Raw genomic sequence first — 16,143 nt, forward strand, 5'->3', positions numbered from 1 at the left:
GTCGCCACTTATCTTGCTGATTTCTCTTCTCCTTGCTGTCTGAGTTCCAGCCCCAGAGGTCCTTGGTCAATTCTTCCATTGCACCATGCTTCCCCCCACCCCCGACCGTGCCTTTGCACATGCCATCCCTCCTGCCTGAAATGCTCCCGACCTTCTTTACCTGGTTAGCTCTTACTCTTCCTTCAAATTTCCTTCTTTACCTGGTTAGCTCTTACTCTTCTTTCAAATGTCTTATCACTTCTAGGAAGCCGTCCTTCTTAGTATTCATGATTAAGCCAAATCTCCCCATGATTTGCTGTTTACAGGCATTTATTTTGCCTTTATAGCACTTACCCGACTTGTAATTTTACCTTTGGTTTCTAGTGATTTGACCGTTGTGTCGATTGCTCTGGAATGTAAACTCCCTGAGGGCAGGCGTTGTGCTTGTTTTGATCACCTAGTCCTTGCACTTCACCTGAAACATAGTAGGTGTTCAGCAGAGAGTTCTTGGATAGATAAAAGCATGGATGGATGGATGGATGGGTGGATGGATGGATGGATAGATGAATGGATGGATGGGAGCAAGATTTCACTTCAGGCCAGGCATGGTGGCCCATGCCTATAATCCCAGCACTTTGAGAGGCCAAGGCCTGTAGATCAGCTGAGGTCAGGAGTTCGAGACCAGCCTGGCCAACATGGTGAAACCACGTCTCTACTAAAAATACAAAAATTAGCTGGGGGTGGTGGCACGTGCCTGTAATTCCAGCTACTCAGGAGGCTGAGACAGGAGAATCACTTGAACCTGGAAGGCGGAGGTTGCAGGGAGCCAAGATCACACCACTACACCCCAGCCTGGGCAAAAGAGTGAGTGAGACTCTATCTCAAAAAAAAAAAAAAAAGATTTCACTTCTACTAATGCCTCACAGTTGTGTGTTGGTGTCAGTGTGTGTGTTTTACTTGTTCATAGCTTAGAAAGCAGAATGTGAGGGATGGGGACACCCTCAGCTGCAGGGAGAAGGCAGGAGTCTAGAGTCCTCCTATGAACTTGGCGCTGGAGCCCTTTCCACACTGAGACACTAAATGTCTCACCCAAGTCCTCTGTCCAGCCTCCCAGTGAGAGTTGAAAGGGCTCCAGCCCCACATGTTTCCTTTCAACGTCAGGCAAATTGGGAAAACCACCAGCTCAATCAAGGAAGATTTAAAAAACCTTTAATATTCTATTCAATTCAGCAAATATTTACAAGCTTCTCTAAAGCACATCATTGAAACCGGATTTCCACCAAAGGAATCCACACATTGGATTATCTTGGCACAGGATTACCTAGATTAAATTTTTTTATTTATTAATTTTTTTTTTTTTGAAACAGGGACTAACTCTGTCACCCAGGCTGGAATGCAGTGGCAAAATCATAGCTCGCCACGGCCTTAGCTTAAGTGATCCTCCTGCCTCAATCTCCTGAGTAGCTTGGACTACAGGCATGTGCCACTATGTCTGGCTAATTAAAAAAACAAACAAACAAAAAATTGTAGAGACAGGGTCTCACTATGTTGCCCAGGCTGGTCTTGAACTTCTGGGCTCAAGCAATTTTCTCCCTTCGGCTTTCCAAAGCACTGGGATTATAGGTGTGAGCCACCATGAACAGTCTCTAATTTTTTTTTTTTTTTTTTTGAAACTGAGTTTCGCTCTTGTTACCCAGGCTGGAGTGCAATGGCAGGATCTCAGCTCACCACAACCTCTGCCTCCCAGGTTCAAGCAATTCTCCTGCCTCAGCCTCCCCAGTAGATGGGATTACAGGCATGCACCACCATGCCTGGCTAATTTTGTATTTTTAGTAGAGACGGGTTTCTGGCTGGTCTTGAATTCCTGACCTCAGGTGATCCTCCCTCCTCGGCCTCCCAAAGTGCTGGGATTACAGGTGTGAGCCACTGCGCCTGGCCCAGTCTCTAGATTTTTAAGATAACCTATCTCTTGAAATCTCAGATAGGGGCTGGAGAGCTTCCTCCCAGAGCACTGCCCACACACCCAGTTTTAAGGAATGCATAGACAAGTAGGCATCCCTGTTCTTGGAACTGTTAAGGCATATAAGTCACATCAGGAGACCCAGCTGTCCTTTCTTATTGGCTGATGACAGATCTTATGCTCCTACATTTCAAGCTGGGAACATATCCACCATCAATTTTTTAAAAGATAGTATTAAAAAACAGGGAAGTCATTCATTTTGTTATTTACAACTTTTTCACAGTGTAAATGACAGCTAACGGCTACACAGATTTAAAAAGCACAATTTAATGCATTATCTGTATACCTGTGAAACCCTCAATATCAAGATAACAAACATATCCCCCTGCAAAAGTTTCCTCAAGCTTGTCTGTAATCCATCTCTTCCCTTCCCCCCAACCACACACAATCACTGATCGGCTTTATACTACCATAGATTAGTTTGCATTTTTTAATGTGGTAATTTCCATTCTAACTTAGAACATCTCTCCCTCCCTTCCTTCCTTCTTTCCTTCCTCTCTTCTTTCCTTCTCTCCTTCCTTCATTCCTTCCTTCTTTCCTTCCTCTCTTCTTTCCTTCCCTCCTTCCTTCCTTCCCTTTCTTCCCTCCTTCCTTCTTTCCCTCCTTCCCTCCCTCCTTCCTTCCCTCCTTCCTTCCCTCCTTCCTTCCCTCCTTCATTCTTTCCTACATTCCTTTCTTCATTCCTTCCTTCTTTCTTTCCCTCCTTCCTTCCCTCCTTCCTTCCTTCCCTTCCTTCCTTCCCTCCTTCCCTCCCTCCTTCCCTCCTTCCTTCCCTCCTTCCTTCCTTCCCTCCTTCCTTCCTTCCCTCCTTCCCTTCCTTCCTTCTTTCCTTCCCTCCTTCCCTTCCTTCCTTCCTTCTTTCCTTCCCTCCTTCCCTTCCTTCCTTCCTTCTTTCCTTCCCTCCTTCATTCCTTCCTTCCTTCTTTCCTTCCCTCCTTCCTTCCCTCCTTCCTTCCTTCCCTCCTTCATTCCTTCCTTCCTTCTTTCCTTCCCTCCTTCCTTCCCTCCTTCCTTCCCTCATTCCTTCCTTCCCTCCTTCCCTCCTTCCTTCCCTCCTTCCCCCCTTCCTTCCTTGCCTCCTTCCCTCCCTCCTTCCTTCCTTCCCTCCCTCCCTCCCTCCCTCCTTCCTTCCTTCCTTCCTTCCTTCCCTCCCTCCTTCCTTCCTTCCACTCCATCATGGGCAACAGAGCGAGACTCTGTGTCAAAATAAAATAAAAATTTAATAGTAACAATCTTTACATTTCGTATCAAAAACTCGCTAAGAATTTAGGGAAGGAAGCTTCTCCTGTAAGTACTCTGGTTAACTGGCAACAGCAATTTGCAAGCAATTTATGGCTCTGTATTTGCATGATGTTCACATGGGAAATAAGGTATTGACTGTTGACATACTTCTTGGCGAAGGCTGTTTGAACAACTCATTCTTTTTTAAGAAGTTCTTAGGAGGCTTTGGACCCCAAGGATGTGTCATGACCTGCCAAATGCCAACCAGATTTGTAACTAGGCTCCTACCAAGCTTAGCTTTCAAAAATATGCATACTACGCATAAACATACTATTTCTCCAGTGTTACCCTCTAGCAAAACGTCCCTTTGTGCTTCAGAGGAATAAGGAATCCTTCAGCAAAAGATCAGAACCCCAGTTGGGCAGAACCTTTTCTAACTTTGAACCTGTTAGGATACCAGCAGTGGCAAGAAATGTCATAACAGCTGTCAGGATTTACCAAGGGCCAGGCATTATGCTAACCTCTTTCACTTGGATTGTCTTGCTAAATCCTAACAATCCTGGAAGTTAGAAATTCACACTATTCCCATTTTGCAAAAGTGGAAATGGAGGCTCTGTGAGGTTAGGTGACTTGCCTGAGGTCACTTGCTCTGAGTGGAGGAGGTAGGATTTGGCGCTGGATCTATTTGTTGAGATGATAACCTCTAAAGCATCTGCCTTTGGCGGTCAGCAGGTATGCGGCAGATACTGTCAGTGCCCCACCCAGTACCCTTGCTGGGTGTCTGCTTCCTTTTCCTAGGGATTGCCTTGGGCTGGGGGTTGCCCTGGGCTGACCAGAGCTGCCTCAGAGTTTCACCACCCACCACCCACCCCACTGGCCTTGCACTTTCCCATGGCCAGGACTGACAGCCAGTTCCCTTCCTTTGGGTGGGATAAGCCCTGGAGTCCAATTCCCGCTCCAGAGTTCCTCCCCGGATCAGGACTCTCTGGAAACCACATTTTAGTTATCTTCTTCCCCTGCCCTATCCTGCTTCCACTGCTGCTTCCCACATTTTCTCGCAGAATACTTCCTCAGTAATTTATTTGCACAAGAATCCTTATCCCAGGCTCTGCTTCTAAGGAACAAACCTAAGACAAAGTTATTCAGGGAAAGGCAGGTTTACCATGATGGAACAAAAGGAAGGATAGTCTTCCTGAAGGACCTCTCCCCTCTGGGGCAGTTCAGGGCCCCAGATGCACTGTGGGTGGCATAGGGTTGGTTCACAGAGTGCAAGACAGTAGAACCATGACAGGTGTTGGGAGCAGGCACAAGGTCTCAGATCTCAGCTTTTAGAGTAAACAGAGGCTGGCACTCGGCACTCATAGCACCTGCCTCAAGAGATGTGATAAGTGTGATGGAAAAGCCTTCTGGCATGGCACAGTCCTCGTACAACTCACTGACTGAATGATAGATGTAGTTGGAGATTTCAATAGAGGAAATAATGTTTCCTGCCCCTCACCCCCACCCCCAACCTCAAGAACTGAGCAGAGTATATAAAATCATTACCCTAAGTGCGCCAGAGAACGTGGTAGATACTGATTGACTGCTTTGCTCCTAGCCTCTAAATTTGAGCTAATAGGCTTAAATCAGGGAAAGGCTGACATAATCTTTTGAATCCAAATAGCCTAGAACCTTTTGCTCTGCTGAAAAATGCAGAGGAGGTGGTGTGTTTCTGGGGTTTAACTGGAAGGTCCCAGGAGTTGGGTTTGAGATTTTTTGAGATCCTCCTTACAGAGCCTATATGGTCTTCAGGATAGGATAAAGCAGAGCGTGTTCATACTTGCTCACCCAACCAACCCATCTCTACCGTCTCCACTAATTTCAAACCACTATCAGATAGATCCCTTCCTCTCTATCCTCACCCCAGCATTCCAGTGCATTCAAGCTTGATTCAATGCCATGTCTACATCACAGCTAAAGCTTCATTCCTTACTCCTCCACGTACTCATTTAACAAACACTTACTGAATTACTGAATGTCTAGTTTTTGCCAACCACTACTCTAGACTCTGGGAAAACAGTGAGCAAGAGGTAGCCCACAGTCTAGTGAGGGAGCAATGTCCATGTCTGTGCTCTGTGCTTTCCTATTTTTGCACATTCTGTTCCCTCCACCTCTCAATACTTGTTGCCTTGAAGGCTGACCCACTATATTCACCCTGTAAGTCCCTGCTCGTATATCACTGCGTCCTTCTCAAAACTTCTCTGACCTTCCCCCTGCTGGGTCAGGTACCCCTTCCCTTAATTTCTAGAGTCCCTTGTTCCTTCCATCTCAGAGCTCCTATTGCAGAACATTGCATTGGTATGTTTACAGAGGGTGAGTTCCTTGAGGACAGAGATTATGCCATTCATTCATTTAACCCTTCCTTCCTTCTTTGATGAGCCAGATACTGTGTTAAATGCAAGGGGCTGAGCAGCAGTTAATTACAGACAAGCTCCCTGTCCCACCTTCATGACACTCTCACTCCAATGGGGGTAGACAGGTGCAAAGTAACTCATTTTAGGATTTCTACACTTTGGCACATGCAGAATAGTTCCTACACTCATCAAATGTAGAATGAAGCCTCCTGGTGCTGCTTGTGTGCTTGTTTGGTACGGACCTGGTACCTCTTTTGTGAAGCGGCAGCTGAGGAGACTCCGGTGCTCACCATGGCCGACGAAAAGCCCAAGGAAGGAGTCAAGACTGAGAACAACGATCATATTAATTTGAAGGTGGCGGGGCAGGACGGTTCTGTGGCACAGTTTAAGATTAAGAGGCATACACCACTTAGTAAACTAATGAAAGCCTATTGTGAATGACAGGGATTGTCAATGAGGCAGATCAGATTCTGATTCGACGGGCAACCTATCAATGAAACAGACACACCTGCACAGTTGGAAATGGAGGATGGAGATACAATTGATGCGTTCCAACAGCAGATGGGAGGTGTCTACTGAAAAGGGAACCTGCTTCTTTACTCCAGAACTCTGTTCTTTAAAGACCAAGATTACATTCGCAATTAGAAAACTGCAACTTGGTTCCACCACATCCTGACTACTACCATATAGTTTTCTCTATTCTTTCACTTCCGCCTTCCCCATTCCTTTATTGTATGTAAAGTAACTGGTATATGTGCACAAGCATATTGCATTTTTTTTAACTAAACAGCCAATGGTATGTTTTGATTGACATCAAGTGGAGACGGGATGGGGAAAAATACTGATTCTGTGAAAATATCCCCTTCCTCCATTAGTGGCATGCTCATTCAGCTCTTATCTTTATATTCCAGTAAGTTATTTTGCTCTCACTGTTTTAACAACAACAAAAATATAAAAATCCTTGCATACCTTGTTCAACTAGAGAATTTTAATGTTTTTCATTTATCATTGTAAAACCAAGGACAATTGTGTAACTTTTTTGTATGTAGCTGTTGCATGTAGCGCAATCTGTCTTTAGGTAGGGATAAATTACTCTAAAACAAAAAACAATCCTAGATAGTTTTCCCTTCAAGTCAAGTGTCTTGTTGTTTAAATAAAATTCTTGTTTAAAATGAAAAGAAAAATGTAGAATGCAAAGGCCAAGAATGTCCTTTATTTCATGTTAGGGATCAGGGACTATGATTATGTCACTACAGAATAAAATAAACGGAAATGGATATCTGACAGCGGTGTGAGCAAATCCAATGTGCCCTAAAAGAGAGAGTGCCGCCTCGACAGTTTGGGTTGCACAGGCCAGGGATCCAAAACTCAGTCACCAACAGGACCCAAAAGGCAATACGCACCTGTGATTCATCTAAGACCATTGTCTTACACTGCCCATTGTTGAGGCTGTGGTCAGAAGGAGAGTGGACCCCAGGCAAGACCAGGTGGCCCCTTCCCAGCACTTTCATTTGTTTCTCTGTAGGAAAGTAGATGAAGGGTTGCTCTTTCTCCCAATTCCTCAACAGAAGCTAAAACTTTGACATTGTGTGTATGATCTCCAGGTTTTCAAACAACTGATTAGTGAAAATCTGGAGATCATACTTACAATGGACTCAATGATCGTACTTACTTTTGGATTCAAAAGATTATCTCAGCAGTTTCAATAGAAATAGTCTGGCAGGGCACGGTGACTCATGCCTGTAATCTCAGCACTTTGGGAGGCGAGGCGGGCAGATCATGAGGTCAGGAGTTGGAGACCAGCCTGGCCAACACAGTGAAACCCCGTCTCTGCTGAAAATACAAAAGTTAGCTGGGCATGGTGGCACACGCCTGTTGTCCCAGCTACTCAGGAGGCTGAGGCAGGCAAGTTGCTTGAACCTGGGAGGTGGAGGTTGCAGTGAGCTGAGATTGCACCACTACACTCCAGTCTGGCGACAGAGTGAGACTCCGTCTCAGAAAAAAAAAAAAAAAAAAAAAAGAAAGAAAGAAAAGAAAAAAGAAATAGTCTGAAGTTCTTTTATCTCTATCCTGCTCCTTAGTACTGACTTAATTCAACTCATGCTTATTGAACAACACAGAAGAATAACACAACAATGAACAACATAAAAATGAATAAAACATTTTGTCTTCACCCCATCCTAAGGAATTCATACTCAAACATAACAGCATAAGAGAAGTGTTAATCGCCCACAACTTCTAGAAGTGATCAAGCCCCAAATCAAAATCCCCAACTGGAGACGCTTCTCTATATAGTTAATGCTTCTTGCCTAGATAAACCCCAAAAGGAGAAAGAAAAACAAATAACAGCAAAAAGCAAACAAACAAGAGGAACTGGATGAGGCTGAGAAACTGAGATCTCTTAAAATGAATGTCCTTAGCTAGAAATCTCCACCCCTACTTTGTAAAAGCCCAGGTTGTGGGACTGGAGTGGAGGTGGGATCTATGTGACCAAAGAAAACCTCCTGGCTTGAGGGAAGAGCCAGGCCTGGCATCAATGATCTCCCCCAGATGGCCACTCAAAGCCATTAAAGCAAGGGGAAGTCCCCGTGCCTCCGCTGCGGCCGTTTCAATGAAGAGAAGCCTGCCAGGAAGCAACCGGATAGCTTCCTGGTCGAGGGCCTGCTGATCTCGCCTCTGCATTTCTGGACAGTATTAATTTACACAGGCCCACAAACCAGCCGGGCACTCTCCAACCTATTGGGTTACATGCAAAGCACAAATAAACTTCCTGGGATAACTAACAGCGGAAATTGGAAAGGAAGGAACAATCTATCAATTATCAATAGGCAGCTCACAGGAACTTGGCAAATTAAGTAGTTAAAATGGGTAATAGAGATGAAAAAGAAAACGATGGGATTTTAAAAAATATCCCTCCATAATGCAGGAGATTAAAGGACCCGGCTGCTTTCCTTGCTCCCACAATAATGTCCCAGATCAAGTAAGATGGAGGAGCGGGGAGAGGGGAATACTGAAGAGGCTGACTTTGCCTAGCTGCAGGCATCGCCACGGCCTGGGGAAATGGCCTTCCAGCCAAGAAGCAGGAAAGCCTGGCGTGGTACTTCACACACTCGGGGAGTTGGGGGTGGGTCTGTATGGTACATTTCACATAGCATTTAGGTACGCTGGATTGAAACATAGAGAAATGATTCCCTTCTCAGTTCTATTTCTGTCTAGTGCTACCCCTCTGATACCTCTCTGAAGCCTAAAGACCTCCCTCTTTGACAACAAGGGACCGGGCATATGGCTTTCTGCAGGCAGCCAGGCTTTTATTTTGCCTGTCTTACATTTATTTTTTCAGTTGCCTCCACGTCTCACAGTTGTCCTGGCTACCACATCGCCATTGCAGTAGCCGTCTGAAGTCCTTTTGAAATAGATTTACTTGAGTTGTATACAGTGAGATGATTTTAAAAGTTATATTCAGCAACGGGTGCAGCACACCAACGTGGCACATGTATACATATGTAACAAACCTGCACGTTGTGCACATGTACCCTGAAACTTAAAGTATAATAATAATAAAATTTTTAAAAAAAGTTATATTCAGGAAATAGCAGCACGTAGTTTAGAGGGAGGTGATCGTGAGCGTCTCAGCCCTGTATAAATGCATGGAACTCTTGGAAACGGCTTTGCAATTCCATGGGGTATCTCACTATATTAAGAGCTGACATGACTGACCTCTAAGGACGAGGCAGAGGGGCCACACATGAATTAAATGCATTCTTTACTTGAGTTCTTTCCATTCCTTTGTGAGGTAATACTTTGGAGGCCCCTTTTACAAATGAGGCAACCGAGGCACAGGAAAGCTAAGTCACTTTCCCGAGGACACCCAGGTATGAAAATGTGGAGCCTGGTTTGCTCCCTAGAGCCGGGCGATTCAGAACATAAGAGGCAGGGTACCCTGGCTGCCCTCTGAGTTAGTGGGATATGTTCACCAATCTCAAGAGTTCTTCTGAGGATTAAATGAGATCACACAGGGAAAGTCCTTGGCTCAGTGGTCTGGCATGTAATCTGTACCCAAGAAATTCTCTCTTTTTTTCCCAATGAGATGCATAGAGCTCTGGGAGACTTCAAGCTTGTGTATCTCAATTTCATTGTATACAGTAACCTGGAGATGGTAAGCGTCTTCTAAGATCATGCAGCAAGTCGCAGCAGAATTGGCTCTTTGGTTGAAATCTCTAGGATGTCTGAGTTCAACTAAAAGTTCTTTACAATTCCCCCCAGGACTGGGCACTGACTAGCCTTCTCAGCATCCAGCCATGTTTTCAAGGCCTAGAGATGATTCTCAGTGCTCCAGAAGACACAAGTGAGACCCCAGCTCTCTGACTTATTTCACCATTCGACAGCTATTCATAGAGCATCTCCTATCTGGGTGATGAGGACTCACAGCAGTCTCTAAGACAGACTCATGCCCCACTCATAGAGTTTCCGGTCTAGACAGGAAGGCAAGCATTAATCAAATGACTGACCAAACAAATATAAATTTGCGATGATTTCATGTGCTATGAAGGAACAGTTCACAGGGCTAGGGGAACATGCACCCCCTTTCTAGTCTATTAAACAGCCTGCTTACTGGTGCCCTACCTCCTGTCTCCATTTCCAAACAACTTCTGTATGGCTGCTGGATTCATCTATCTAAATCCCAATTCTAATGTCACTCTTGGCTCTCAAACCTTCAGTGGCTCCCTACTTTCCAGAGAGTGAAATGTACATATCTCAGCCTGGCAGGCAAACCTTCCACCCAGCTTTCCAAACTTCCTCTTAGCTCCATTCCCAGGACAAGAGCCAGGGTTTCCCACTGCACTACCTAATACCCCGTCCATCTAAGACATGAGGCTCATAATGTCCTCATAATAGAAACCCCGAACTACCACTCTCCAAGGCCTGTGCCAAACGCCTCCTCTTCCAAGAAGCCTTTTCTTTAACCCCCATCACTTCCATCGTCCACCTGCATGCAGCCTTTGGTTCATCGTTGCCTGAGAACCCTCATGCTTCTCTTGCATCCAGTCATGTAGGGGCTTTCCTTATGTTCCCAACTTGAGTATGGATTCCTTAGAGTAGGTTGGGGGCATGAATGTTTTATTCGTTCTTGTATCATTCATTGTTGTGTTATTCTTCTGTATCGTTCAATAAGCATGAATTGAATTTAGTTAGTGCTACAGGGCAGGATAGAAATATGAATAAAACTCTAACAAAGGATAATTATTATTAAAACTTAATCACACTCTGGGAGGCCAAGGCAGGTGGATCACGAGGTCAGGAGATCGAGACCATTCTGGCTAACACGGTGAAACCCCAACTCTACTAAAAAATACCAAAAATTAGCCGGGCATGGTGATGAGTGCCTGTAGTCCCAGCTACTCGGGAGGCTGAGGCAGGAGAATGGCATGAACCCAGGAGGCGGAGCTTGCAGTGAGCCGAGATCACACCACTGCACTGCAGTGTGGGCAACAGAGTGAGACTCCATCTCAAAAAAAAAATTAAAAATAAATAAATAAATAAATAAACTTAATCAGTGCTAATATCAGGCCACCTGGTAAAGACTGAAGACAGAGAGTGGACGAAACATGGCCCTTGTGCTTGAAGACACAAAGGCTGGAGGGGGAGGCCAATGCCCAAACACCTAACTATTGCCAAGATAATGGCGACCGTGGAGATACTAACAACAGCAGCTTGCACCCATTAGGAGGCTTGTACCCCACATGCCAGGACTGTGTTAGGCTCCTTATATCCATTATCTCATTTAACCCTCAGAGCAGTCCCATGAATTAGGTTTTTATTTTGTAGGTAGGGAAACCAGAGCTAATAAACTTTCAGTTGATTTGTCTGGGGTCTTGGTTAGGGGTGGCATTCAGTGGTATATTCCTGAATCCACCAACAAGCAGCCTGGAGTAGGGAGTCCAAGGCTGGAGTCCACTGACCTCCTGATGCCATCCAGGCATCAAGACAAGACTGCTTGTCTTTCAGTTCACACATTCCCCGTGTGTGATCTTTATCCTCTCACTAATCACCTTGTAGTTGGGAGATGCCCAATCCACACCTGGCATAGCATCTATGATCTACATGGAGAGTAGGGAAAGAGCAGAGAGTAAAAGTTACAGGCCAGTTTGTCTGCATTTTAAAGAGTCTCTGAGAAGTCCTATCTAGTAAACTCCATCTACATGCCATTGGCCAGAGCTACGTCATTTGAGCACTCTTAACTGCGAGAGAGATGGGAAATGCAGTTATCCTGCGGCATTCCTTGCCAGGCCAAACAGGAAGAATTCCTTCAGTAAGAAACAAGGGCAGAATGGATATTGGGTGAGCAGTGAGCAGGGTATGCCATCCACCCTAGTTTCAAGCCTGGACTTGAACCAGTGATGTGTTACTCAGTCAGCTGGCAGGGGTGGAGGGAAGCCCTGATTGGTGGCATTTGCCAATTTTTGCAGTGTAAATACTCTCATCATAAGTAAATTCAAGCTACCAACAGGACTGCAAACGGCTTATAGAATTCCTGAAGATGTAACCATCAGCTCTCACAGCTGGTGCAAGCCGACTCATGACGTCATTGACATGAATCTGCCTAACTCCAGGTAAACCCTCTTTACTATGACGTGTTACCAAAGGCCATGCAACACAGAGAAGGAGGCATTAAGGAGCTGCCCAGGGACCATGCAATTCTTGAACTTTGGGAATCTATGAGTTCAGAAGATTTATCAAGTACGTAATCACTCAGAGACAATTGAGAGCTGCCCTTTCCAGGTAGACGTGCAGCAGCAAGCAGGCCTGAAGCCCCTGGGAGCAAAGGCGGGTGCAACAGATGATACCTGTTCTGCCTCTTCCCTGGGACACCTAAGGATCTGTTGGATGATGAGCCAGAGCTTCAAGGCAACAGATCCTGAGGATGGCAACTAGTACTTGAAATTGACAGAAAAGGGAAAAAAAAGAAATACATATATATATACACATATAGATATACATATATACACACATATATATGTATGTATGTGTGTGTGTGTGTATATTATATACCACCATCTTTCTTACCTTCATGATAGTGGTTCTCAACCAGGGTTGATCCTCCCCCCAGAAGATATTTGGCAAGGTTTGGAGACACTTTCGATGGTCACAACTTGGGATGGGGATGCTCCTGGTATCTAGTGGGTAGAGGCCAGGGATGCTGCTCGGCACCCTGCAAGGCACAGGGCAGCCCCCCATGATGAAGAATTATCTACCCCCAAATGTCAGTGCAAAAGCTGAGAAACCCTGCTCTGTAAAACTAGCCAACAAGTGTTGCCTCCGTGAATTCTGTGAGACACAGAAAAGACTTACTTTTTATGTTTTGGGGGGTACTGAGGAAGCGGTGGGCAGTGAGTGGAGAAGGAAAGATGCTGTTTATTATTCAACTCTCGCCTCCACAGCAGGGAAAACACTGTTTATATGAAACATCCAAGGTCGCTGCCACAGATATCAGTTCCATATTTCATGAGCCTTTGCCAAATCAAATTAGCTTATTTTCCTTGATATTAAGTTTGACAAGCAAAGAGACTGTGAAAACCAGAATTTCTAACTGGGCGTGCCCCTGTAATTTGGAATTTTTTTTTTTTTTTAGCATTGAGATTCCAACAGTAGCCTCATTCTTCATGTAAGGATTATATTACTGGCTGTATTCCTCTTGTCTGGAAATTTACCTCGTGTATCCTCAATTTCTTCTGCTATTCATATTCTTCAGGAATGTGACTGAGGCAGCCAGCCGATGCTGTTGGGACTCATAGTAGATGCCAAGGGCAGGTGGCCAAGGTGCCCCAGGAGGAGAGCAGCCCCTGTTCCACGTGAACCCACTATTAAGACGACTTGGTGTGGGGCAGTGTGTGTCAGCATGGTGTCAGTCAAAAGAAAAAGAAAGAAAGAAAACACCCCCAGGCCAGTTATCCTTAATGTTTTTTGGTTCCAGATAGCTTTGAAAATCGGATGAAAGCTGTGATCTTGCTTCTGCAAATGTATGCACGCTTTGGCACATTTTGCAGGGAATCCTGGAGCGTTCACTGGTTTCCTGAGGCTCAACAGTGAAGCCTTTGGCTGGGATTAGGGACCACAGCTACAGGTCAAAGCATGTGGCAAGACGACGCCCACTGAATATGGGTCTTCCATGCTGTGACTTTACGCCTGTGACCTGAGGACTCACCTGCTAGAATCTGAGTTTTCTCTGCTGTAAAGTCGATATTAACATCTTCTTCAGCAGGTGGTCCTACCAGTTAGAATGAGATGAAAGTCAGTAGGGAGAATAGACCAGATGGAAAAACAGAAGAAGGCAAAGAAACCACTGATTCACGTAATTAGCATTTATGGAGCACCTACTGCATGCGGACACCACATAGAATGCTGGGAATTCAGAGATAAGTAGACCAAAGTTCCTGCCCTCAAGGAGCTTGCAGAACATTTCAAATTCACAGGAGAGAGTTAGGGAGGCTTCAGCTGATGCTGTGGCACTGTGGTGGACTCATGGGAAGGGATTCAGGAGCTATTAAGGTGAGACCCCTGGGTGAATAAGACTGGGTCTGGCCTGCTGAGGGAGGAGGACTGAACCGGAGCGGACTTCTCCTGCTGCACAAAATGTCTGATCTCAGGATCATGCAATTTTAACACAGACCCAGAACAAAGAAGCTTCTAGGTCTGGTAACAGTGCTCAGAGTCCCTTTCAGAGGGTTGAATCTCACGTGCAATTTCCCATAAGTTACTTAATGTTTTTGCACCATGGTGTTTGCATTGCAATGCATGTTAGACTAGTAATCTTGGCTTTCATATTGGAGCCATGTGGCATGAGACGCAGCCTGTAGGCTCCACAAGGAACGGGGTGCATTTCTTGTTAATTGCTCTATTCCCAGCATCTAGAATGGGGCCTGACACACGGGAGGTGCTAACTCGGCATTTACTGGAAAAATGAAAGGAATCATCTAGTGGGAAAAACAGATTTCATCAGGGCTGCAAAAGAAGAGAACGGGGGCCAAGAGCAATGTATCCGAGGAGGCTGCCTTGGTTGGGAGGGCCCTTGGGAAGGTCTCCCTAAGGTAGAGGCCCTGGAGGTGAGATCTGAGTAGGAGCTAATGAGGTGAAGAGGGAAGACAGAGGACACAGTCCATGCAAAGTCCTGATGGCAGGCGGAGACCTGCAAGTTCAAGGAGCTGAGGTCTGTGTGGTGGGAGTGCTGAGGATGTGAGGGAGGGGTCCGGGGGGCTGGAGGGACGACTGGCCACATCACACAGGACTTTGTAGGTCATGGCCAAGACTTCTTTGTCTCAAGAGCAGTGGGAAGTCATTGAATATCTTTAAACACCTTGGGCAATTTTCTTTCCTCTGTTTTCCATGTGAACGCCAGCAGGAGGGAGCATACTTTGTACATTTGTCATTTTCTTCCCCTACATTCATCTCTCTCTTTTCTTCCTAGAAATAGTGCCCTGATTTCCCTTGGTAATCTATTCCTCAGGTTTCTCAGCCAGGAGGCCTGAGGGGGATTGGCCCTACCCCAGTTCCAGTGGGGGACTTTCATTGCCCTAAGCCAAAGACTCCATCTCCTCCCTTTTACCCCTGGAATTGGTCTGATGATGGTCACAAAGCACAAACAGTGCAAAGGAGTTGAGAGGAGAGGTTAGCTGGGGCTCGTAGAATGTGAAGCTCTGTCTTCTCTGGGAACTGTCAGGAGAAACTTTCCCTTCTTCCCTGGATAGTTGCAGACAACTCCCTTCTTGCCTCAGGATTTGCAGCAAGGGAAGAGCCTGCAACTGCTAGGGGCCACCACTGGGACTTAAAGATGAAGCTGACACCTTGAAAGGCAGAGACAAAATACACAACAAACTAATCGTTGATAATACTTTGTGAGCACCTGGATCAAGCCTCACCTGATGCCAAAATACTGCTGGACCTTTCTGGTTCCTGAGCCAATTATTCCTTTCTGTCCTTTTAAACCATTTTGAGTTGGTCTTTGGACATGGAGGTACTTAATCAATGCAGGCGGCTGAACCAGTGATCTAATGTTGCTGATTCTGCAGAAGCATTTTTACAAAGACTTGTAGAAAGACAGGGGCATCTGGCAGGTAGAAGCTATGTGGAAACTATAATCCAAAAGCATGAAATCTCATATTTTACCCAAGTATTATGATGGGCCATCAGTCCAAAACTTCACACCACAACATAACCAAATTCACAGTGAGTGGTCTGAAATGCATGTGGACACAGTTTCAAAGATTTGGGATTCAGTTTCCATTTGGAGCAGAGCCTAGAATTTTTGGATGTTTCCCCAAGGATTCAAGCTGGTGGATCTGAAAAGCCAGCAGGGGGATCTCCTGAGAAGCGTTTTCACGGCTCTCCAGGATACTTCCTCTCCTAGGATAAGCAGACACTTTTCTGCTGGGCCTTAGGCCCTTCCATGGTGGAAAGTTGGCTGGGAATCAGAAAGGATGAGTCATGAGGAAAAGTTTGCAGCCTTCAAAGAGCAGCGTTTGGTTTGGGCTGGGC

The 16,143-nt window shown here is 45.5% G+C and overlaps 1 pseudogene; it reads left to right on the forward strand.

The window, feature by feature from the left end:
* SUMO2P6 (SUMO2 pseudogene 6) lies at positions 5,820–6,391 on the forward strand (annotated as a pseudogene).

This window comes from Homo sapiens, chromosome 5 (assembly GCF_000001405.40).
Source record: "Homo sapiens chromosome 5, GRCh38.p14 Primary Assembly".
NCBI lineage: Eukaryota > Metazoa > Chordata > Mammalia > Primates > Hominidae > Homo > Homo sapiens.